General features: G+C 43.3%; 2 long non-coding RNA genes across 2 annotated transcripts, besides 2 other annotated features; one reads left to right on the forward strand and one right to left on the reverse strand.

Annotated features, from left to right (window-relative positions):
* The first annotated feature begins 1,213 nt into the window (after nt 1-1,213).
* On the forward strand, nt 1,214-19,233 carry LINC02127 (long intergenic non-protein coding RNA 2127). Its single transcript, NR_110913.1, has 3 exons — nt 1,214-1,351; nt 5,676-5,732; nt 18,992-19,233. It is a non-coding gene; the product is annotated as a long intergenic non-protein coding RNA 2127 (long non-coding RNA).
* Nucleotides 5,856-7,137: an enhancer, noted in NCBI's record as "VISTA enhancer hs79". NCBI's record gives its function as "enhancer in: neural tube[8/13] | hindbrain (rhombencephalon)[10/13] | midbrain (mesencephalon)[13/13]" and the evidence as "EXISTENCE:transgenic organism evidence [ECO:0001131][PMID:17130149]".
* On the reverse strand, nt 7,952-21,550 carry LOC107984903 (uncharacterized). Its single transcript, XR_001752172.2, has 3 exons — nt 21,260-21,550; nt 20,053-20,199; nt 7,952-11,975 (listed from the first exon to the last, which is right to left on the reverse strand). It is a non-coding gene; the product is annotated as an uncharacterized LOC107984903 (long non-coding RNA).
* Nucleotides 22,900-23,401: an enhancer, noted in NCBI's record as "H3K4me1 hESC enhancer chr16:51073355-51073856 (GRCh37/hg19 assembly coordinates)". NCBI's record gives its function as "activates a minimal SCP1, AML or CMV promoter by ChIP-STARR-seq in primed H9 embryonic stem cells {active_cell/tissue: H9 hESC(primed)}" and the evidence as "EXISTENCE:reporter gene assay evidence [ECO:0000049][PMID:30033119]".

Below are 24,945 nucleotides of genomic sequence, written 5' to 3' on the forward strand. Positions count from 1 at the left end.
AAATGATTGTTGTTTTAAGGCACTAAGCTTGGGATGGTGAGATCGCTGAAATATTAGACAAAGGCCCAGTCCTCTGAAGCTGAAGCAAAAATCAGTCACTAGTGCCAACAAAGCTCCCCACATTAGCTCATTCTGCCAACAGTTTGAGGAGCTCAAGATTCCACTTTCCTATGTGATATATATATAGGATATATAGGATATGGATATATGGGATATAGATATATAGGATATATAGATATATAGGAATACTATTCAGCCATAAAAAAGAATGAAATCATGTCTTTTGCAACAGCATAGATGGAACTGGAGACCATTAGCCGAAGTGAAATAACTCAGAAACAGAAGGTCAAATGCCACATGTTCTCACTTATAAGTGGGAGATAAGCAGTGGGTACACACAGACATGCAGAGTGGAATAACAGACACTGGAGACTCCAAAAGGTGGGACAGTGTGTGAAGGGGGTGAGAGTTGAAAAATTACCCATTGGGTACAACGTTCACTATTCAGGTGATGGGCACATTAAAAGCCCAGACTTCACCACTATGCAATATATGCATGTAAGAAACCTGCACTTGTACCCCCTAAATTTATAAAAATTAAAAATTAAAAAAAATTTCACTTTCCTGATAGTCCTCTTTCCTCAATTCCACCTTCAATTAACCAGTAAGCATCAGTGGAATATGTTGTCCAAGGCACTTGAGGGGACAGGGGGTGTACGGAAGACACAAGAAAATATTCCCTGCTCTCAAGAGGTCCACTTATATATCTGATAAGACGAATATACCATCCCAACTCAGAATTTGTTCAAGCCAGAAGTTTAGATGTCATCCTCCATCCTTTGATGCCCCTCCCCATTTAACATTAACAACTAACATGTGCTCAGTACCTTTAATATGCTAGGTATCACGAATTAACTCATTTAGTTCTCAAAACCCTATTAAAATAGTATTTTTCTTTCCCATTTCACAGGTGAGGAAATTGAGGCACACAGTTATGTCACTTGCATAAGTCACAAAGCTAGTTCATGACCGAGCTAGAATTGGAATCTTGGCCAGGTAATTCCAGATGTTTCACTCTTAACCATTCTATAGAATCAGCACCCATCTTTGAGTCAGAGTTTGAGATGCAAATCCTTTACTGTATAGCCTTGATCAAATGACTTCACCTCATTGAATTAATCTTCTTCTGCATAAAATGGGGTCACCATCTGCTTATCTAAATTGTTACAAATGGGACAGTATATGTGCCATTCCAGATACCTAATCACAGCTCAATCGATGCTGGTGTCTTTTTCCTTTTTCCTTCTGCAGAAAACATGCTTTACATAGGATCTCTGAACTTAAAGAATGGGTAAGCCATGGCAATAGCATGCTTCAAATTGAATTTATGGTATATTAGGCAGTGGCTTCTACTGAAGAAGTTTTCTGTTGTAGCCAGGCTCTATAATCATTGTAAATATGTTGCTCTAAGGCAAGAGTTGACAAATTTTTCTGAAAAAGATCACATAGTAAATATTTTAGACTCTGTGGTCTGTATAGTTCCTGTTACAGCTACTCAACTCTGCCCCTTATAGTGTGAAAGCAGCTTAGGCGCTATGTAAAGGAATGTGTATGGATGTGTTCCAATAAAACTTTATTTACAAAAGCAGGCAGCTGGCCAGATTTAGTCTATGGACAGTTTAGCCCCTGCTCTCAGGTAAGCTGTAGAGTTTCTGCTGAAAGAATCTCTTCTAGTCCTGGGAAAAGATCCTGTAAGTTAGGAAATTGGTAACTAGAGGGTAAAATGAAGGAGCTTGGTGAGAGTTTTTATAAGCAGTGAAAATTCTGCCAAACTATTCCCATGACTTTTGATATCCAGCATGGTATAACCCTGGCTCTGTATCAAGTTTTCAATTCTGATATTGCAGTTTTGAAAGTAGTTTATAGAAACATAAGAACTCATTAAAAACTCATTCAATGATCCACTTTGTAGCCTTGTGACTAATCCAGAAAGTAGAGTCTGTGTCTCTTTAGGACATAACCCTCCCTAGCAAGGTTCCTATAGAAAACTAACCCCCGGAAATAACACTAGGGGAAAAAAGTGTTCCATGGTAAAGTATGTTTGGAAAAGTTTACATATTTTATTCTCCCTCTTGGAGATTTCTAATGGATATAAACATATTAAAAAGCTGAGAATTCCTATAGTAACAAAATCCATTAATCTTGGTTAACTCTGACTTTTACAAACTCACTTGACCACAAAAGCTTAGGTTAAAATATGGGATCTGGATTCAGTAAAATGAGCATAATAATACTTATCTCCTGGGGCTGGTGTGAAGAGCACATCTGATGAAGCGTGTGCTTAGCACAGGGCCTGAGAGAGAATACACAGGAACTAGATGTTGGCTGTTACATCAGCAGCACACTTGGGAAATGCTGGTCAAGACAACAATATACAAAGATATTCATAAACTCAATTCTCATTATAATTTTCAAAAGAGTTAATTAATGGTATTCCATATCATATGATATAACAAGTGCTGTAATCAATCTTTTAGAAATATTTAGTTCTTGAAAGTGGGACCCCCTGAGCATGGCCTGTGTTAAAACAGGAGGTGCATGGTGACCATCTCTTTATGAGACACCAGGCAGGATCCTCAGGGAGTTCTTACTGCAGCGTGGGCAGGTGGTGGTCTTGAGGCTGAAGGCTGGCTGAATGGAAACAGTCAGCCTGGAAAGGGGGATGTGGACGCTGGTGGTCTCACTCTCCTCCACAGCAGGACCCTTTCAAACCCCCTCATACAAAGGCCAGAGGCCCTAGATATTGACACATGCCTTTAAGCCCTTGGATACTTCAAAGAAAGAAGATTAGGAGCCAGTCTTAGAACCTGTTCCCCAGAGAGATGCATTTGTCCAAAAGTTGATATTATCGATGTGGGTGGAAGCTGAGAGGAGCGTATAATTTCTTTAATAAAAGCTGGACTGTGTTTGCTTGGGCTCCTGAGTTTTTCTGCTTCCTCCCGAGCATTCTCAGGGGCTGGGATGGCCTCCTATGATCGGCACGAATGTTTGATCAGCTATGCGTCTTCTCCAGGGCAGCTCAGATGATCCGAAAGGCTTCGGAGCTCTGGTTGTCTCCAGAGTTTTCCTTCTTAAATTCTTTGTTTCCTTCAGAATTCATTATAAATGACATAATTACATCTCTTTTTCTTCTCTGATTGAGCATATTTCTCACACATGGTGATTTGCCACTCAGATGTGGGAGGAGGCTGAGCAATGTCATATGCAACCAAAGCACTGCGTCTCCCTTCCGGAACTGCACTGCCTCTCACCCAAGCACTCCACTCCCTTCCAGAACTGCACTGCCTCCCACCCAAGCACTCCACTCCCTTCCAGAACTCCACTGCCTCTCACCCACACTCCTCTCCCTTCCAGAACTGCACTGCCTCTCACCCAAGCACTCCACTCCCTTCCAGAACTCCACTGCCTCTCACCCAAGCACTCCACTCCCTTCCAGAACTCCACTGCCTCTCACCCAAGCACTCCACTCCCTTCCAGAACTCCACTGCCTCTCACCCAAGCACTCCACTTGCCACTGTCCCTCTCCAACTTTCCCCTAGTTCGGGACATTGACAGATTCCCCACAAACCCATGAGAAAGAGAAGACTGTCTGGGTCAGCACAAAATTGAATTTCAGAAAATAATGAAGTCCTTTGCCGGGAATGATATTTCCTAAGAGAAGACATACCACCAATTGGGATGTTACCAAAAAAAAAATTGGGTATATATTGTTCCCAATATATATTTTATTGATATATGATTGCTATAATTACTTGCTTAGAGACAAATATTCTATTAGACCATGGCATTCCAGCTCCAGTGAAAGTAGAAAAGGGGATTTGATAGCAAATTATAAACTGTGACAAGAGAAATTTAAAATTAGAGGCCAGGCACGGTGGCTCACACCTATAATCTCAGAACTTTGGGAGGCCGAGGTGGGTGTCCTCCTAAGGTCACCTAAGGTCATGTGTCCGAGACCAGCCTGGACAACATGGTGAAACCCTGTCTCTACTAATGAAAAAAAAAAAATAAAAAATTAGCTGGGCGTGGTGGCAGGTGCCTGTAATCCCACCTACTGGGGAGGCTGAGGCAAGAGAATTGCTTGAACCTGGGAGGCAGAAGTTGCAGTGAGCCAAGATCCGGCCACTGCCCTCCAGTCTGGGTGACAAGAGTGAGACTCCATCTTAAAAAAATAAAATAAAATTAGAGACAGACACAAGGGAATTTGTTCATTCATTCATTCGTTTACTTCACTAATATTTATTGTGTTTCTTTCCATGCCAGGAACCACTGTGTTAGGTATAATTATGGTGGTTGAGCAATAAGAGCTTGTATTTGTGGAGCACGTATTATGTGTTAAGTATGATCTCATTTAATTCCATCAGATAGGAACCAATCCTATTATTATTATTATTATTCTACAGAGAAGGAAAATATAGATTAGTGAAGCTAAATGGCTGCCCAAAGTCAGTGTAGCTAATAAGCAGCAGATCTTGAGTCTGACACTAAAGCCCCTAAGTTTGTATAAAGGGCTACATTGCCACTTAAAGCAAGTAAAGTCCTTATTCTCATGGAGTTTGCATTCTAGTGGGGGAGACAGTCAATTGAAAATAGAGGCATAAGTATACACATAAATAAGCAAGATCATTTCAAATAGCAGTAAGAGCTCAAGAAAATATAAAATGGAGTGATGCGCAAGGCAGAGACAAGGTGGAGGTGCCGGGAAGATCCCCCACCCCAGTTGAACACTTGTAATGGCTGAACCAACTCTCTTTGAGCCTAGTTGTTTCATCTGAAGGCAGGAACCTGGACAAGAGGTTCCTTCTGTAGCTCATTTCATTCCACAGTGGCATGGGCAGCATGGGCTGCCATTTACAACTCGTATTCTTCTTCTGTGTTCTGACATATGGAGTTTTTCCAACCCAGACAGAGCTAGGCCACTAGATATGAGCAGACTCAGATGCTACCTAAATAAAAAGTTACCTTTGTCCTTAAGCAAATAATCCTACACAGGACACTCAGATATGGCAGTAAACAAATGTCTAAGTGTTTCATGGAAAATACTAAAACACTCAACTGGTGGGCAGTGTTACCTTCCAAGTGACATTTGGCAATATCTAGAGGCTTCTGGGGTTGTCACAAACTGGGGGAAGAATGCTACTGACATCTAATGGGTAGAGGCCAGGGAAACTGCTGAACATCATACCATTCACAGGGCAGCCCCCTACAATAAATAATTATCTAGCCCAAAATTTCACTACTGGGAAATCTCATGCTACAGTGAGGTAGAGAGATAATAGATAGATAGACAGATAGGTGATAGATAGACTGCCATCCTCATTTTCTGGTAACTTTCTCTACCTCCAAAATCTGCCCCAAATTGATGGAGACAAGAGCTTTCAACAATTTTTTACTAAAACTTTCCATCAAAAGTCCAACCCAAAAAGCAGGGTCAGGAAGCCTCCCACATTTAAAACGATCTCACACAGCCATCAGAGAAAGAGAAGGACTCCCTCAAAGATGTTGAGAGAGAGAGACAATGTCTAAATCTTTACTTGTGTAAAATTGATAATACAAAACATATCTCTATTAGGTTCTTTCTTAATTGAAACAATGCTTTCTTTCATCCCTGCCAGGAAGAAGAAAAATCATGTTTCCAGCTTGGGCTGCTGTTTCATCTGTTGGACTTGCTTGTGAGCTAAGCCAAATTTCATTAAAAATTATTGGTCTCATAACTTTTTTTGTTTTTCCCTTTAAAGAGTCCCATATGGAACCAATATTGTGATAGGATTGTAGCTGCATAAAGTCATTGGGCATTTTGACCCACTCTCTGCTTCTTGGTAGATTCTAAGTACAGATCTAATTATTTTTTCCTTCAAGTATTAAGCGAATATCTCTGCAAACAAATCCAAATTTAGAAAGCTAGATTGAAGAAATGGAGAAGCAAATCTAGTCAACTCATAGAAATCTTTCTTCTCCTCTCTTGCTCTGTCTCCAAGAGAACCTCTACACCTTCTTTTAAGGTGCCAGCCATCTTAAGCTCTTGTCTGATTAAGAAATTCTCTGGTAGAACCAGAGCATCTGCAAAAGCATAAAATATGATCACAGCCTTTGCACAAGTATTTTAACAACCCAACCTTATGATAGGTTATATTTCATTGACTTGGAAGAAACACTGCATTATCTGGGAAAACAGCACAGATGTTGCCTAATAAACGTTTTGGTTTATGCATTGTATTAACCTCATGAAACATTTATGCAAATCTCACATTAACAAAAGGTAAAAGAACCATTCTATGTTATGAAGCATACAACAGGATGATCTTTGTCATGTTTTTGTTTCTGTTGTTGTTGTTTCACCTTGGTATTTTATGGGTCTGTTTGTAACTCTTGGAGTTTCTATTTAGGAGGACACAAGAGCATTGCAGATTTTCATCTCTTCTGTTTTCAGTTCTGTTATCATCCCTTCCAGCTGACTTCACATTTTATGATGCTAATGGGGGGTGTGTGGTTTTGAGTTTCTCTCCTGTCAGCTGGTCAGTGGGTCTGAGGGATATATTTAATAGAATCTGACAGCTGATGGAACTGGCCTCATTGAAAGAGGATTTGATATGTGGAGTGAATGTGGCGACCCTGAAATCGCCATAATAACGGCCATTATTATTCTGCCTCTCGCAGCCAATATAACTCTCCCTCTTGTACACACCAGTACATGTGTATAAAAGACATGACTTATGGATGGTTTCTTCCGTACACTGATCTGAGGGCCATTTAGATAGCATGTCAAAACAGATTAACTGTCTTATCCTGCCACAAAATTAAGGGGGGGAAAGAGAACTTTACACAACTCTGCCCAACATATGCACTCTGTGCCCATAAACAAAGCCAGCACAGAAGGGCCACAGATTGTCTCTGGGTGGGGGTTAAGAGAATCAGGCACCCAGAAAAGCTGCAGGCTCACCCACTTAAGGTGCCCGCTCCAGTGAGGACCCAAGGGCACTGCCTGAGATATGGTGAGGGCAGCTGGAGCCACAGGTAGGAACCTACCTCCTGAAAGGCTGGTGCTATGCTTTACCTGTGTGCATGTGCCTGGGATGTTGGGGTGGGTGTTGGCCCACCTCGGCCCTGCTGAACTGGACTCGCTGTTGAAATCAACATCTCAACCTGCATCCTGGCAACCTGAAACAGCCACATTCTCTGCCAAACCTGCCTGCCTACTGGTTACTAAAGTTCGTTAACACGTATCGTGTGCTTGTTCCATGCTAAATTTTACCTGTAGAGACCCTTTTAATCTTCCCAAGAACCCTAAACTGTAGATATTATTATTATTAATTATGATTATCACCTCCATTTTACATATGAAGAAACTGAGAGAAAGGTAAACTAAGTAACTGGTCTCAAGTCAGAGCTAATAATTGATGGAGTCAGGATGGAATCTCAGGCCGTCAGAGCCCATTGCCATAACAGTGACTGTCCTCTTCTGCTTCTGTTTGTCCCCCAGCCAACAAGAAGTATGTGTGAGTGTGTGTCTGCATACGTGGGCATATGCACGTATAAAAATTCTTAGACACAAATGTTCCCCTAGAAATCATCTGGCCACCCCCTTAGTTGCAGCCAAATCCCCACTCAATCAAGAAAGTTACTGTGTTTTTTCCTCTGTAAACCGGGCACCTCCCATCCCATGGGCTGGCACAAAGACAAGGGGGAGAACCTGTGTGCACCTAGCATAGCCCCAGGCCTGGGAGGTTGGCCGGGAAGCACTCACCTCTCCTGTCCTTCATTTCCAACCTCAGAAACCCACCCCTGTTCCCTGCCTCCTGTCAACGAGCTGACCTCCCCATCTTCAGCCATGCAACACCGCTGTCTGAGGTTATCATTTCAGGCAATGATATCAGAAGCAGTTGATTCCACATTTCCGAAAATAATCCTTTTATTTATCCACTGTCATCTTCCGGCGCAAAAAACAAAGAAAAGGAAAATGGTTGCAGAGAAGCCAGCCGATGTGTCCGGGGTACCTGAGGAAAGCAGGCCAGATGCTAGGAGATATCCTTGTGGCTGTCAGTGTTTAAATTACATAGAGCTGGTACTTTTTAGGTCAGAAGCATAAAACCTACTATTGATCTTGAGCAATGCATCCAATTTTGAATGTCTGTTAAAGCCCCAGGCACTTCAATGCCACATAATCAATATTTCTTTTCATTCGTTCTTTCTTTTTTTGTTGTAGAAAGCGTATGGGTTTGTTTACCCTTCCTGCAGGCATCCAACCTGGCCTTTTATTCCTGCTCAAGTAGGACATGCAGCCTGCTGGGGACCCGTGGCTCAAATCCTCCAACTGCAGGACTGCCGGCCCTGGGACTCATGAATAATGGAAGTGCAGTAACCACTCCTTACAGCCCAGACGACTTTCCAGGAGCAGGCTGTACCCCGAAAGTAAACAAGGAACAAGGGGCAAGGAGACAGAGAGAGATGGGGAAATGTGAGATCATGTTTAACTCATTGTAGACCCTAAGATAAGACAGTACGTGCAATCTTGAAATTTAGAGTAGAAAAGGGCCTGGGAGATTATCTGGGAGAAACATTCCCTTTCAATTTGCAGATGGAAAAACTGGCCAAGGCTCCTTATGCCTGGGTTGTTGAAATGGTCCAGGGAACATGAGCTGGGCCATATGGAATATGGGTTAAGCTTTGATCTCTATTAAGAAAAGGGTTTCGGGTCGACCAGATGACCATAGCAGTCTTTCTATTCTGACTCTGAGGACAACCTAGTAAGCAGGTCAACCAGGTAGGCTGGTGTGATTCAAAGCTACAAGGCCATTGCATCCCTGACTAAAGGCCTGGTGGCTATGTCTGTGGTGGTGGTTTTGAAGAAGTGTATTCTTCTACGGGCTGCTACATAGACTTGGCCTTGAAGGATGAAGAGCACAGAGAAGTAAAACTGGTGAGGGGTAAGGGGTGGGGACAGAGGTAAGAAGACAAAATGACAAGTGGTGCAAAGACAGAAGTGAGAAGCAGCATGGTGCATTGATGGACTTGCAAATGGTTCACACGAGCAGCAGAGCAGAGGGTGTGGAGGCAGCAAGAGAGACAGCATCACAGGAGCCTGGCCGTGCCCTGCACTGAGGAGTTTTCAACTCTTGGCTTTGAAGCCTTTTGAATCAGGCAGTGATACAATCAGTGTTGCACTGGAGAAAGTTCATGTTGGCTGGAGGGCAAAGGATGGATTGCAGGAAGCAAGACTGGGGTCAGGGAGCCAGACAGCAGATTACTCCAGAGGCCAGGCAGACCCTGATGATGGCCAAACCAGAAAGGAGCAGGTCGGGGGATGGGTTTCTCATATTCACAGGGAGGCTCTGCAGGATTGGAGGAGGGTCTGGACAGATAAAGTGATGGGAAAAATCACAGTGGCAGGCAGGGTCACTTAAAAATTTTAGCACTACATGTGAATCGTTGTGGTTTACTGTGTGACTTTTGACAAGTCACTTAACTTCTCTGAGCTTCAGTTTCCTTACCTATAATGTGAGAATAACATGGGGATTTCATGATTAAATGAGGTAATACATGAAAATGTTTTCCATAGTGCCCACCATGTAGTAAACCTTCATTGTTTAGAAGGTGACACCTGACTTCTATTATATTATTGACCATGTGGAGAGTGTCCAATGAGACATGATGTGTTTTGAAGTAGCATCACCTTTTTTTTTTTTTTTGACAGAGACTCCCTCTGTCACCCAGGCTGGAGTGTAGTAGCATGATCTTGGCTCACTGTAACCTCTGCCCCCTTGGTTCAAGTGATTCTTCTGCCTCAGCCTCCTGAGTAGCTGGGTCTACAAGATCACACCACCATGCCTGGCTAATTTTTGTATTTTTAGTAGAAGTAGCATCATTTTTAACCCAGTCTTGAAATAGATAGCTTGAGTCATAAGCTGTTTCCAGGAAGCACGCTGGAGTTACTTCTCTAGTGCGGGAAGACAACAACATAAGCACATACCTATCTATCTCCCAGATTCCCCAGAAAATGACCAACTGTATATAAAAATAAGAAAAAACTTATCCATACTGGATATTAGCAAAGGGTGGTATTTATAGGCCAGGAGGTCTGAGGAACATCTGTTAGATACACGGCAGATGGGCCAGATTGAAGAATTCATTATTTCCACAATGGGAAGGAGTGGTCTGTTTGATAGAAATTTCAAAACTGTCTTTGCAGATCCTCACCAACAGCCCTGCTGCAGTGAAAACTGGAGGTGAGAGTGGGCTAAAGCCTCTAAAACTGGTCAGTGCCATGGATAAGTGGCCATGGTGCCAGGGGCACAGTGAAGGGGACCCCCAGACCAGACCAGCAATTCCTTGGGACTAAACTCTGAAGCCAACTTCCACCAGGCCTGGGTCAGGGCACAGCCCCAGCAGACTGCTGGTGGCTGAGCTTTAGTAGACATGAATTCTCATTTTCCCAGCATCCCAGATCCTCTTACCCTAGTAATGACTCTGATTTTGAACTTGGAGTCAACCCTTCTCTTCATTCTGAGTCCACATGGTCTGGAAGGATCTCCAGGATGAGGTTCTTGACTCAGGTCTGGTCAATCCAGCACTAAATGGACCTTGACACAGTGATTGATTCAGGAATGGTCTCACCACCCAGGGTGGTCCAATCAGAAAGGCTCTCAAAAGTTTAGTGGGAGTCCACAATAAGATATGACTGCACAACACAAGCATGGCTACAGCCAAATAGAGAGATCTCAACAAGACTGGCAAGGAAGTGGAGAAACTGAACCCTTAGACACTGCTGATGTGAGTGTAAAATAGTATAGCTGCTTTGGAAAACAGCCAGTTTCTCAAAAGGTGAACTGTGTCACCCAGCAATTCCACTCTTCAATACCTACCCTAGAGAAATGAAACCAAATGTTCACATAATGCACACAAATGATCCCAGCAGCACTGTAATAAACAAAAGGTGGAAACAAACCAAGTATCTTTCAACCAGTGAATGTATAAACAAAATGTGATGAATCCATACAATGGAGTATTATTCAGCCATGAAAAGAAATAAGATTCAGGCACACGCTGCAACATAGGTGAGCCTCTCAATCATCATGCAAAGTAAAAAAAGCCTAGTGCAAAAGACCACGTATTGTATGAAATGTCCGGAACAGGCAAATCCATAGAGACAGAGAGTGGATTCATGGTTACCTAGGGCTGGGAGAAAGGAGGATGGGGAGTGACTGCTCATGGGAATGGGGTTTCTTTTTGAGGTGATGAATTTTTTTTTAAATTGATTGTGCTGATGGTTGTATAATTCCATGAATATACTAAAATCACTGAATTTTACTTTAAGTGAGTGAACTGTATGGTATGTAAATTACATCTCAATAAAGCTCTTATTAATTTAAAAAAATGTTTAGTGGAAACCAAGGGAAAGATCCAAGCTCTATGCTGTTGGAATTGAGCTGATGGGAGGAGGAGGGGTGAGGCTGGAGCTGTTGTAGCCACTTTATCACCCAGAAGTTTTAGGGGCCACTACAGTGAGCCCAAGAATCAATCTAACACAGCAGGAAGCACACGGAAGCGATAGAAACTGGATTGTCAAGGATGTTGTTTTGACTTTAAATTCAGCTCTACTTGAAACCAGAACTACTCCTCGGTTTCCCTTCCTCAGTTACCTCCCTCTAAGTTGGGCTTTGTGTTCACAATAGAAAGACCCCCAGTGCAAATACCAAACACTGAAAACACTCCTTGAGCAGGGAGTCCAAACTTCCTGCCACCACTCCCGTTCAGGCTGACCTCCTTACCCTGGCCTCTTCTAGCTTCCTCTTCTTCCTTCAGCATCTAGATCTTCGAATCAGCCAAAGAGAACTCCATCCAGTTTAATCCATTCCATTCTCCCATCGTCGTGGCCTGAATTATTCACACAGGGAACCGCACAATCTCTGACAGAACTCCTAGCAATGGGTTAGTGAAGAGAAGCAAAGAAAAGTCACAGGCGCATGAGAAGACAGAACTGTTCACAACAAGGAGGACCACAGGTGCCTCCCAACTGAATTGAGTTACTGCAAGACGCAAGAGAAAATTTTCCAAGTCTGTTAATTCAAGTTGTCAGAAGGAATCAAGAACAAACTGTGGCTTCCATTTTCAGAAAGCGATTCGAGTTTATCTGTTTACTTCCCTTGCCTCTCCAAACCTTATTATAACCAAATTAAAAAACAAAAAATGAAAAGAAAGAAAGAAAATCTCTATCAGCACTAGAAACTAAGCCATGGATAACCTAGAAACTTGAGTACTTTTCTTTATTTTATTATTATTATATTTTAAGTTTTAGAGTACATGTGCACAATGTGCAGGATTGTTACATATGTATACATGTGCCATGTTGGTGTGCTGCACCCATTAACTCGTCATTTAGCATTAGGTATATCTCCTAATGCTATCCCTCCCCCCTCCCCCCATCCCACAACAGTCCCTGGAGTGTGATGTTCCCCTTCCTGTGTCCGTTTGTTCTCATTGTTCAATTCCCACCTATGAGTGAGAACATGCAGTGTTTGTTTTTTTGTCCTTGTGATAGTTTGCTGAGAATGATGGCTTCCAGTTTCATCCATGTCCCTAAAAAGGACATGAACTCATCATTTTTTATGGCTGCACAGTATTCCATGGTGTATATGTGCCACATTTTCTTAATCCAGTCTATCGTTGTTGGACATTTGGGTTGGTTCCAAGTCTTTGCTATTGTGAATAGTGCCGCAGTAAACATACATGTGCATGTGTCTTTATAGCAGCATGATTTATAATCCTTTGGGTATATACGCAGTAATGGGATGGCTGGGTCAAATGGTATTTCTCGTTCTAGATCCCTGAGGAATTGCCACACCGACTTCCACAATGGTTGAACTAGTTTACAGTCCCACCAACAGTGTAAAATTGTTCCTATTTCTCCACATCCTCTCCAGCACCTGTTGTTTCCTGACTTTTTAATGATCACCATTCTAACTGGTGTGAGATGGTATCTCATTGTGGTTTTGATTTGCATTTCTCTGATGGCCAGTGATGATGAGCATTTCTTCATGTGTTTTTTGGCTGCATAAATGTCTTCTTTTGAGAAGTGTCTGTTCATATCCTTCGCCCACTTTTTGATGGGGTTTTTGTTTTTTTCTTGTAAATTTGTTTGAATTCATTGTAGATTCTGGATATTAGCCCTTTGTCAGATGAGTAGGTTGCGAAAATTTTCTCCCATTTTGTAGGTTGCCTGTTCACTCTGATGGTAGTTTCTTTTGCTGTGCAGAAGCTCTTTAGTTTAATTAGATCCCATTTGTCAATTTTGGCTTTTGTTGCCATTGCTTTTGGTGTTTTAGACATGAAGTCCTTGCCCATGCCTATGTCCTGAATGGTATTGCCTAGGTTTTCTTGAGTACTTTTCTTTAAAGGATTTGATGGAGAAGGAAAGTGGTTGAATGAAGGCTGCCGTCTAATGCAGGCATGGGAAGGGCCCCCGCAGAAGTGGAGGGGATCCCCAAGAGCTGCAAAAGCCCCTCAACCTTGGGTTCATGTTATTTACTATCATGGACCCCAGGGTAATTGGTATGGGGCAGATTAAAGGACTTGAGGAATTGTCCCACTGCCCCTGATAGGAAACAGCCAAGAGCACCACTCACACCAGGCTTCACGTGATGTAAATAGTGTGGGAAGGAAAAAACAACTATTGCTAAGGAGACTCAATGAAAGCAAGGATTTGCTGCCCTGATTTGGGGCTATTAGTACAGTCATGGCAGAGAAGTACATGCTTGGGACAATAATAAACCTTCCTGCCATATTGATGCAGGACAGGCCAGCCCCTAAATTGAGGCTTAGCCCAGGAGAGTTCTTGGCCTCCCCAGGAAAGAATTTAAGGGCAAGACAGTGGTGTTAAACAGCCACTTCTATTGAAGCAGCAATGTACAGCAGAAGACAGGCTGCCCTGTAAGCTGTGTGCCCAGAATAGCAGCTTAGAAGTGCCACTGTGCTCATAGTTATAACCAATTTTAATTATATGCAAAATAAGGGGCAGTCCATGCAGAAATGTCTAGAATGAGGGAGGTAACTTCTGGGTTGTCGAGTGTTGCCATGAAAAGGTGGGGTGTAACTCCTGGGCGTTGCCATGGCACTGGTAAACTGACATGGCCCACTGATGGGTGTGTCTTATGGGGAGGTGCTTCTGGCCCTGACCTGTTTTAGCTAGTCTTCAATTAGGTCTGGTGTCCAAGCCCCACCTCCAGAGTTGAGTTCTGCCTCCTGCCACAATAGGAGAGTAAATGGAGCTCTCCTGGAAAGGCTAGATGGGGACGACCAGGAGAGGGTCCCGAGCAGTGGAGTGAGCAAATCTAAGCCCTGCAGATGGCTGCGGATGCTGCTGCCCCAATGCCTGCACAGGGTGAAAAGAAACCGCCAGGAAATGGTGCATTTTCCTGCTGCACCTTCCCACTCACCCACTTTCTTCTCCTCATAATCAACTGAACCTCCAAACTAAAAAAACACCTGCAGAATAGACCAAGAAGTCCTTTTCCCTTCTGTGAGTAACATATTTAAATAAGTTTCTAACAGAAGTATTCTCAAGTTGTAACAGTGGATCAACAGTTTTCCCTCTGCAAATACATACAATAAAAGAAAATGTAACAGAGGTAGGAAAAGTTTCTGTGATTTAAAAAAGAGAGCTTATTTTGAGAAATCAAAACATATACTCTCTCATGATGTAAAACTATCCCAATAAACAAGGGTAAAAGTGATCGCTAATTTTTGTATTTCCCATAAGATTAGAGATATTGTTTCTTTTAATGGAAATCCCTGAAATCCAGAAAGACAGTTTCCCAGTGAAAAGCATAATCATGGAAATGTTCTAGTGTTGTTAGGGCAATACAGAGCAGATTGAACAGAACAGAAGACAGAATCTGTGAATTTAGAAGTGAGCTCAAGGAATCCTCCCAGAATCAGTGAAAAGACGACAAGAAATGGAGAAAATAAGACGAGAGAGAGAAAGAAAAAGGAAAGAGGAAGCTAGAAAGGCAGCTACAGATCAACTCTGTGTAAGATTTTAAATGGTGGCAACAGAGCAAATGAAAGAGAAAAAATAACTCAAGATATGACAGAAAATTCCCCTGAGCCGAAGCAAGATTTGTGTCTGTAGAATCTAGAGGCAAACTGCCCCGGCAGGCTGTTCACCTGCTTTTGCAAATAAAGTTTTATTGGAACATAGCCATGCCTGCTCATTTATACATTGTTTCTGGCGGCTTTTCTGCTACAACAGCAGAATTGCATGCTGGCCACTACAGACCCTATGACCTACTTAGAAAGCTGTATGGCCTTCTAAGAAAAGATCTGCTATCCTCTCTAAGAGTTCTTCGATGCATACATGGCTAAAATGTTTGCATTTCAAGGATAAAAAATTTAGAATCCTATAATCATTTAGTCCTCTAGGGTGGAGGGTAGAAATACCCAAATTACCTTCAAAAGAAGAAAGAAAGAAATTGCACTAGGTCATACTTCTTAGCAAATTCTAAGATAAAATGTTATCAAAATCCAAAAACTTTCAGAGGATTGAGATTGAGAACTAAGACTATATGCAGCCAAGGTGCCATTCTTGTATATTCGTAATCTTTTTTGTGCTTCCACTCCTGGGGTGGTGTCTGCAATCCCAGTCACAGCCCTCCGAAAGTGTGCGGGTAATCTTATGGGGACAGATTCATAAACAACATATGTTGTGACTATTACTTCTTGAAAACAAAAATCATCAAAGAAACACTCCAGGTGGCTGAAAAATGAAGCAAAATAAATAATTCAGATATGAGAAAAAGCAATATAAAAGAAACATTGCTTAACAGAGAACCCAAAAATTTCAAGTTAATTTCTTAATAATTGCAGTTAACATGATTATAAAACAATGCAAGTGTCAAAAAATAATTCTGGAAAGAGATGAAGCCCAATGTAAAAATGTATTAATTATAATATTCTTATTCTAAAAGCCAGATGGGGCTGGAAAAGGAATTGGTGATGCTAGTACTGGTAATTATAGCTTCCATTTTTAGAAGTTACTATGTATTAAGCACAAAAATAATGCCGATATAAATATTGTTTTTCATAAATCTTTGTACACATCTTTAATATTAATTCCTTAACATAAATTCTTAGAAGGTGAATGCTGGGTCTGAGCATTTAAAAATCTTTCAACACAGTGAAATTTGAACTCTCAATAGAAATATATAAGTGTTCATTTCTCTGGAATCTTGCCAATGACAATTATTATCATTTTGCTAGTTATAACAATGAAAATAATGTATGAAAAAGTATGGAAGTTTGAAAATTTTTGTACAAACTAGAGCAAATTAAGGTTATTTGATATAGTACTATAACTTTCACTCATTTGTGTTCTGATATACTTCTCAAATAGAAGAGACCACTACTCTATTTATTTTCACTTCTCATGAAGTTACTAGGTGGCATGTTTTTGTGGCACATAAATGTCAATTTTTTTTTTTTTTGAGATGGAGTCTCACTCTGTTGCCCAGGCTGGAGTGCAGTGATGTGATCTTGGCTCACTGCAACCTCCACCTCCTGGGGTTCAAGCGATTCTCCTGTCTCAGCCTCCTGAGTAGCTGCGATTACAGGCATGTGCCACCACGCCTGGCTTTTGTATATTTAGTAGAGACGATTTTGCCATGTTGGCCAGGCTGGTCTCAAACTCCTGACCTCAGGTGATCTGCCCACCTCAGTCTCCCAAAGTGCTAGGATCACAGGCGTGAGCCCCCATGCCCGGCCATAAATGACAATTTTAAGGGGATATAAAATTTTTTATTTGGAGACAACATTGATGAGAATTGAGGGACCTTAAATAATTTATAGCAAGTCCTCAAAATGAGATTCTCTGCAGCCATTAAAAGTCATATTCAGAAAAACTATTAGAGGTGTAAGAAGCTTCTGGAAATATAATACTGAGTGAACAATAGTTTATAGGATACAATCCCAATTCTGAGGTTAAAAAGCATATACCATGTACAAATAAGGAGATAAGCCAGACATTAACAAGGATGGTCTTTAAAAGATGACAATCCAGAAGATGGGGTTTCTCCTTTATTCTTTTCTGTATTTTCTAAGTTTGCTACTTAAACATTTTAATACATAGAGAAAAACCGATATCTTATAAGTAAGCTAGAAGTTTTTATCTGTTTCCCTGGCAACTAGGGCAGTATCTGGCTCCCAGTAGACACTTCCGTCAATGTCCACTGAATGAATGAGTGAGTAAGTGAATGAGTAAAAGACTGTGTGTTTCCCCTAGGCAGAATCCCCTTTCCTGGGGCATCTGAGATCTCCTGATTTCAGCAGGCCTGGGATCCTGCCCCTATCGGCTTGCTTCCCACCGTCAGCTGCTTAGCTGCTTTGACCCTCACCCTTCTCCCTGTTTGGATCTCCGCAGCATCCCCACAGTGGGGGCCTCCCCAGGTCACCTGCTTCATCTGCTAGGCCTGGGCCCCAGATCTCCATCACTAAGGCCCACCAAGTTGGTCTTGACTTTGCCAGTTCTTCTTCCTTCTGAGCTAGAAAACTCCTTTAGAAAAACTTCTTGGCCAAGGACATGACACCTTGGGAAACTGATCCAGGCAGTCAACAAGGCTGATGTCATCCGGATAACACCAGGATCACACTGAGCTCCCCTTCCCAGTTGATTTGTTTCCTTGCAGGGAACGTTAATTTGTAAAAATCATGAATAGATTTGTAGTCTGAACTGGCCCTTAAGAACAGAGCTGTAAACACCAATGTGATGTAATGGCTGGTTCTGTTCTGATTTGTCAGTGACAATGTTTTACCAGTACTCAAAATGTCTCAAGTATCATCCCTGCTTACATGGGAGTTTGAGTGAGGAAGAGACTGTTGGACTGTTTGCTCTGGTTGAATGAGACTTAGCAGGTTTGTATAACACATTTTGTCCTATCAAAAATAGCTGAGATTACATAAGCATAACCTCTCCCCAGAGCAAATATGCATTTGAGAGGCAGTGAAACATACATAATTATAGATGTAAAACTCTAAAAATAGGCTCTGTGCCACACACAGGCAGCTGAGAGCGTGGGACTTGAGTGCAATGCTGCCACGTATGGCAATATTAATAGGAGTTGTGGCACCATCCCAGGTGGCCCAGTGAGGCGATGCAGAGCTATTACAGACAGGAAAAGACAGAGAGATTTAAAATGTTTGTGTGCAAAGAAGGTTGCTGCTTATTTGAGCCTGTCAAAGGCTGTTCCAACTGACTGTGGTCTTCTCCCAAGGGACAGGAAATAAGAAGTCATCAAACAACCACGATTGTTACATTGTTACCTCTTATTGTATTCTTATTCTAACTAGTCAGTATGAATAATAATAGCAGCTTGTGCTTAAAAGCATGTGCTGTATTTTTCGAGGGATTTTCACTTCTACAGTTATTCAATTCAACCAGTCTATATTGAGGGCTATTTCAAGTGGGCTTTACTATATAACACAACCTCCCCACAAAACTTGACGACTTAAATCAACCAGAATTGATTTACATTTTGTTAAGTTGGCTGTGTGATTTTCTGCTTGTCTCAGCTGGAAGGTCCCAAGATGGCCTCAGGCGCATGTCTAGCAGCTGTGCTGGGACACTTGACTGGAAACCCTGATGCTCCTCCCTGGGGACTCTTGTCTTCCAGAAGGCTAGACCAATTTCCTGATCTGAGGTTTCTGGGCAGTGCTTCAGGACGGCCCCAGTGAAAGTTGCACTGTCTCTTAAGGTCTACTTGCATGATGTCACCTCCACTGCATTCTTCTGGTCAACACCACTCGCAAGGTCAACCCATATTCAGCAATGGGAAAATAAACCCCACCTCTTGATAGGAGGAGCTGCAAAATTTTGTAGGAGTATTCAATTTAAGACAACAGGGCTAAGCTAGATACTGACTTACGTCATCTCATTTAATTCTCACAGGATCCCTGAATGGAAAGGAATGCTATGCACACTTTTTGGATACAGGAAGTGAGATTCAGAGGGGTTAAACAGCTTTCCTAAAGCCACACAGCGAGAGAGTCGATCTGAACTGAAGATTGTTTGACATCAAAGCTCATTTCTTTCCCTAAATGTCAGCATTCTTTCCTGACTTATTAATTTGATTTCTGTCCTCCCCTCATGGAAGTTAATTAAAGGAATGCGAGAACCTTTTAGAAAATCTCCAGGGCAGCTTCTGTGTTGATCATTGTTTCACAATCTCTTTTCCACCCAATCCCCACCAGCCCTTTAGATCTGTTTCTGTTAGGCCACATCCCAGAGCTGCACAGATCAGGGGAGAGAGAGCTCGCCGCTAAGGCAAGTCCTCTGTCAAATGCAACAGGGACGAGGAAACCATGCGCTCGCCTGTGGTTTACTATGTGCCAGGAACTGTGTGGATTGCTTAACAAAAATCAACTTAGCTAATCCTCATAGTAATGACACAAGGCAGGCAGGGTTTTGTTGTTGTTGTTTTTGGAGACTGAGTCTCGCTCTGTCTCCCAGGCTGGAGTGCAGTGGTGCGATCTCCGCTCGCTGCAAGCTCCGCCTGTCAGGTTCACTCCATTCTCCTGCCTCAGACTCCCGAGTAGCTGGGACCACAGGCGCCCACCACCACACCCGGCTAATTCTTTTGTGTTTTTATTAGAGACGGAGTTTCACCGTGTTAGCCAGGATGGTCTCGATCTCCTGACCTCGTGATCTGCTTGCCTCGGCCTCCCAAAGTGCTGGGATTACAGGCGTGAGCCACCGTGCCCGGCCTGTTTTGTGTTTTTAATCTCTTTTGCAGATGGGGAAACTGAAACAGGTCAGTAAGTTGTAGAACTGGGATCTGAAACCTGGGCCATCGGACTCCAGAGTTGATGGCCTTGCCTCCCTCACTTGCCAGCCTCTCCAATCATAAAGGAACTTCAAGCAGAGAATGGGAGAAGTTGTGGCCAGTGTGACCCCAACTCTCATTCCAAGGCCCTCTTCATCACCAGCACCTTCTCCTTTCCTCAACCCACCTCGCCTCTGAACAATGAGTCCCAGTTTTGCAGTACCAGAGATTGAGGGGCAGGGCAGTTAGATGCGTCTCTGCAAGTTTCCTGAGATGGTGATGGCAGGTGGCAGGGCAGGACCCAGGTATCCTGCCTCCTGGGCCTGGGCTGTGCCTAAGAGGAAAAGAAGGACATTATTAAACCCCAGGGCCAATCCCTGAGCCTAAGTAGCCCTGTGCCACTGCGGATGTGGCAGCACCTTTTGAGGCAAGTAGGGATAGGATCTTTTAAAAATAAGAGAACTTCTGATCTCCCTTAAGTTGGCCAGAGAGCCCAGACCACTTTCCCTCCTCAGTGGACATGGGACTTGAAATGCAAACCCGCCTTCGGCACTGGGATCAGCAGTAACACTGGCGAGTCTTCCGAAGACTGGGTGGTTGGCTGCGTTCCCCACATTCCCCACACTCAGAGAAGCCCTCTCTCCCACACTACCAAAATCACACACTGCTGAGCTTTGCTTTGAAACACAACATCCAACAAATTATGAATCATGAAGATCCGGACTCATTGGCCAACAAATTAGAGGATGATTTGCTTCTGGTTTCCCGTCAACAGTGGGATGCCCAAACACCTGTCTGCATCGGTTTCTAGGGGCATCCACTGCCCATCAGCAGAGAGGCCGAGAAGCTGATGTGCAGGGAAGTGGTGGGAAAGGAAGCCTTTCCAGAAGTGACTGACCGTCACATTGGGTGCGATCCACTGCCACTAGAATTCACCATGCAGGTAAAGCATGGTGGGAACATGATGTATTTTGATGGCGCATTACAGATTTTAAAGCTCTTTGATATCACTCATTCTTGCAAAGGGTATCTTATTTCATTTATTTAGTTTTAAACCTAATATTCATTATGCCAGGCACCACAGTGAGTATCTTATATAGGTTTTATATTTTATTTGTATGTTTTTATATGCATATATACAATAGCATAAAAGTTACCATTTTAACTATTTTAAGTGTACAGTTAAGTGGCATTAAGTGCATTAGTACCGTTGCACAACCATCACCATCATCCATCCAAAGAACTTTTTTCACCTTGAAAACTGAAACTCCTTACCTTTTAAACAACAGCTCCCCATTCCCCCTCCTCCTAGCCCCTGGCAACCCCTATCCTCCTTTCTGTCTCTATGAATTTGGCTTCTCTAGGGACCTCATGTAAGTGGAATACTACAATACCTGTCCTTTTGTAACTGGTGTATTTAATTTAGCGTAATGTCTTCAAAATTTATCTGTGTTATAACATGCGTCAGAATTTCCATCTTTTTGAATACTGAAGAATATTCTGTTGCATGTATGTTCCACATTTTGTTCATTTCATGGACATTAGGGCTGTTTCCACCTTTTGGCTGTTACAAATAATGCTGATATGAAGTCCAATGCACAACTTCACGTGGTTTTTGTCAGTTACTCTTCAAAACAAATCTACAAGGTAGGTCCTCATACCTTCTCATTTTCAGATGATGAAACCTGAGGTGGAAAGAAGGTAACACACCTGTCAAAGGTCACCTCTAGTAAACAGTAGAGCCACTTCATTCATTCATTTTCATTCATTCATTTATTCATTCATATTCAGCAATATTTTGGGGTCCTTTGAGGTAACTACCATGTTCTGGCACTGTTGTTGATGACAGAAGTACAGAAGTGATCTGAGCTTACACTTTCTAATTCCATGGTCCCCTCTCTTCACTCTCACACCCTGCTGCCCCTCTATATGTAAATATCTGAGATTCTAGAAGTAGATATAATGATTTATAAAATATAGATAGATAGACATATATATGAAATATTTATAAAAAGCAAATTTATATTTTGTGGAAATAAATATAAAATTAAGATCCAGTGAAAGATGCAGAATTTTAAGTATAAAGGGCTAATATGCAATTCAATGTGGTGTGTGTAGGGGACAGTGCACCATTGTTCATCTCAGTGCAATGAGGAAGGCAAGACTTAGAGAGGCAAAGTGATGGGTCCAGGGCTCCGCAGCAGAGTTGAGACCCTGCCCAGGTGTTCTGAGGCAGGTTTTGTGCTTTCCCCCTGAAACAAACAAACTCTTGTAAAACATGAAAGGAAAGAAAAACATACTCTGATGAGCAAATGCCATCCCCTCAGGTAGAGATGAGGCTTTGAGTTTCAGGTCCTGCTTCCCAGATGACCAAGGCAGTGAGTATGAGGCTGGCCTCTGTGACAGACAGGCACATCCACCGAGTCTAAGAGTTTGATATGCACCTACTGTTTGATCCTCACAAAAGCTGCCTTGTGTTCCACACCACCTTATAGAAGGAGAAACTGAGGCTGGGAGTAGTTAATTCATTGTCTCACTGGCACAAAGCTAACAAGTTGCAGAACTGGCATGTGACTCCCAATTCCTTACTTAACTCCTACGATTCTTCCACGGCCAAGGAATGACTCCGGCATCAGAAATAGATGAGGCCTCTGGTGGTCTTCCAGCTCTGTGGGGGTCCTCAGGCAGGGCTGCTGAGCTGCTGCCACCACCAATTCCTTACCCGTCTGTCCCTGCCCCTCCCACTGTGTGACTTCCTGGAGAGCCCTCTCCTCTCGTTGACTGCGGTGGTCCTTGACTCCTTTATACAGCCTCAGTCAGTTTTGAGAGGGAGATTTTCATTCTTTTATTCACTTATGTACTCAGCAATATTTGGGGGGATCCTACCATGTTCTGGCAATGTTGTTGACGCTGGACATACAGAAGTGAACAAAATAGACACTCTCCCTGACCCGAGAGTTCCAGTTGGGGGAGAAAGACGTAAACATAATAAAAACATAATTTTAGGTGGGAATAAAAATAAGAGCCATGAAGGAAAGTAAAGCAAGGTAAAGAGATTGAAGCAGTTGGCATAAGGGTGGCTACTTTGGGCAGGGTGATCAAGGAGGGCTGCATGGAGGAGGTGATATAAAAGCAGAGAGAGCCACGTGAAGGATGGCTAGGGGGCTTGGGGTCGAGCAGAAAGAAGTTTAAGTATAAAATCCCTGAGAGGAGGAGAACTTGAAAGGTTTGGCAAAGAGGAAGGTCAGTGTGTCAGGAGAAGGCCGAGGGGTGAAGAAGAGGGGAGCCAGGTTAGAAGGACTGGCAGAGGACACTGACCTGAGAGCTGACCAAGGCGAGGACTTTGGGGGGTCAGGGGCTTGGCAAATATGATCGACTCAGTATGGCCGTTCATACTGTTGCCTTTTCCAGGCCACTTCTCCTGCTGGGGGCAGTGAGGAGCCTGCCAGCCCTGCTGCTTTGGAAAGCCCAGAGGACCAAGAAACTGAGGCTGCAGGGGAAAGGTGGGGAGAGGAGAGGCAAGCAGCAGCAAACTGCTGGAACGCCTGCAAATGGGCTGCTCCGAAGGCTCTGGGGCCTTGGTTCTGCTCTGCACAGAGCTGGCTGTCCTGGCTGACATCTGTTGTGACCTCTTCCAAAGTGACTTCGCCCCATCTCTCTCAGAACGAGCCCGGACAGTGGGTGTGAATAAGCCCAGTAATCCTCGATGAGGAAGCCCCGTGTCCACGTGCGTAGCTCAGTGGGGAGGGGGAAGAACGCAGCTCAAACTTCATGTAAGATGGGCCTGGCTCTGCCACTTAGCTGTGTGACCTGAGATGAGTGTTTCAGCCTCTCTGAGCCTCTGTTTCTTAATCTACAAAAATGGCAACAAGATATCCACCTATTGGGTTGTTATAAAGTTTAAGTAGGAAAATACACATGAAGAGCTTTCACTAGCACCTGGGCCTGACAAATACTTAGTATTAGAGTTGCTGTTGTCCTGAAGGAACAGAGTTAGGATGAGAAGAGCTGAGATTCACAACCACCAGGTTGCCAGACTCTAAATATTCTGCCATTTCTGGCCCCTACATTCATGACAACAATCATATCATGAAGGCAAGGCCTGTGCTGTTCCTCTTACTCTGATTTGACAGCTGAGGAGACAAGGTCTCCATGGTTCCTGCCTTGAATGCTGACCTGGCAGCCACATGGACCTGGCAGCTATCTCAGGAAACTGGGTGAAAAAGAGCCCTTTCCCACCCAGCCTGGACTTAGCATGGGCAGGGACAGGCAGGGAGGAGGGAGGCAGGAAGGAGAGAAGGAAGGAAAGAAGAAAGGAAGGAAAGAGGAAGGAAGGAAGGAAGGAGGGAGGCAGAAAGGGAAGAAAAGAAGAAGGAAGGGAAGGAGGAAGGGAAGAAGGAGCAAAGGCAGAAAAGAAGGAAGGAGTGAAGGAGGGAAGGAAGGAGGGAAGGAAGGAGGGAAGGAAGGAGAGAAGGAGGGGAGGAAGGAGGGAAGGAGGGAGGGATGGGGGAGGAAGGAGGGAATAAGAAGGATAGGAGGGAGAGGAGGGAAAGAGGGAGGGAAGAAGAGAAGAAGGGAAGGAGGGAGGGAGGAGGGAAGGAGGGAGGGAGGAAGGAGGGAGAAAGGGAGGGGAGGAGGGGAGGGAGGAGGGAAGAAGCAAAGGAAGGAGAGAAGGAATGAAGACAAGGAAGAAGGAAGGAAAGGAAGGAAGAAAGAAACAAAATAAAGGAACAAAGTTTCCTTCTCCGCCCCAGGATCTCTGGGTATGGCAGATTGGATTGGCCTAAATGGCCACACACTTTGTTCCATCCTGCGGACTCTTCTTACAGTGAGGCCTTACCACTCCTCCATCAAGTGAAATCTCTGTGCCTTCCCCTTGTGCCTGAGTGGGTCTTTGTGATTGCCTCAATCAATAGAGCAAGGCAGTGGTGACTTTAAGTGACTTCCTAGGTCTCAGGAGATGATACAGCTCCCACCTGGCTCTCTGGGGAAACTTATTCTTGGAACCCACTGGCCATGCTGTGAGGAAGCCCAGGACACATGGAGAGCCTCATGGGTTCTAGCCAACAGCCAACTTAAA

Source organism: Homo sapiens, chromosome 16 (genome assembly GCF_000001405.40).
Source record: "Homo sapiens chromosome 16, GRCh38.p14 Primary Assembly".
NCBI classification, from domain to species: Eukaryota; Metazoa; Chordata; class Mammalia; order Primates; family Hominidae; genus Homo; species Homo sapiens.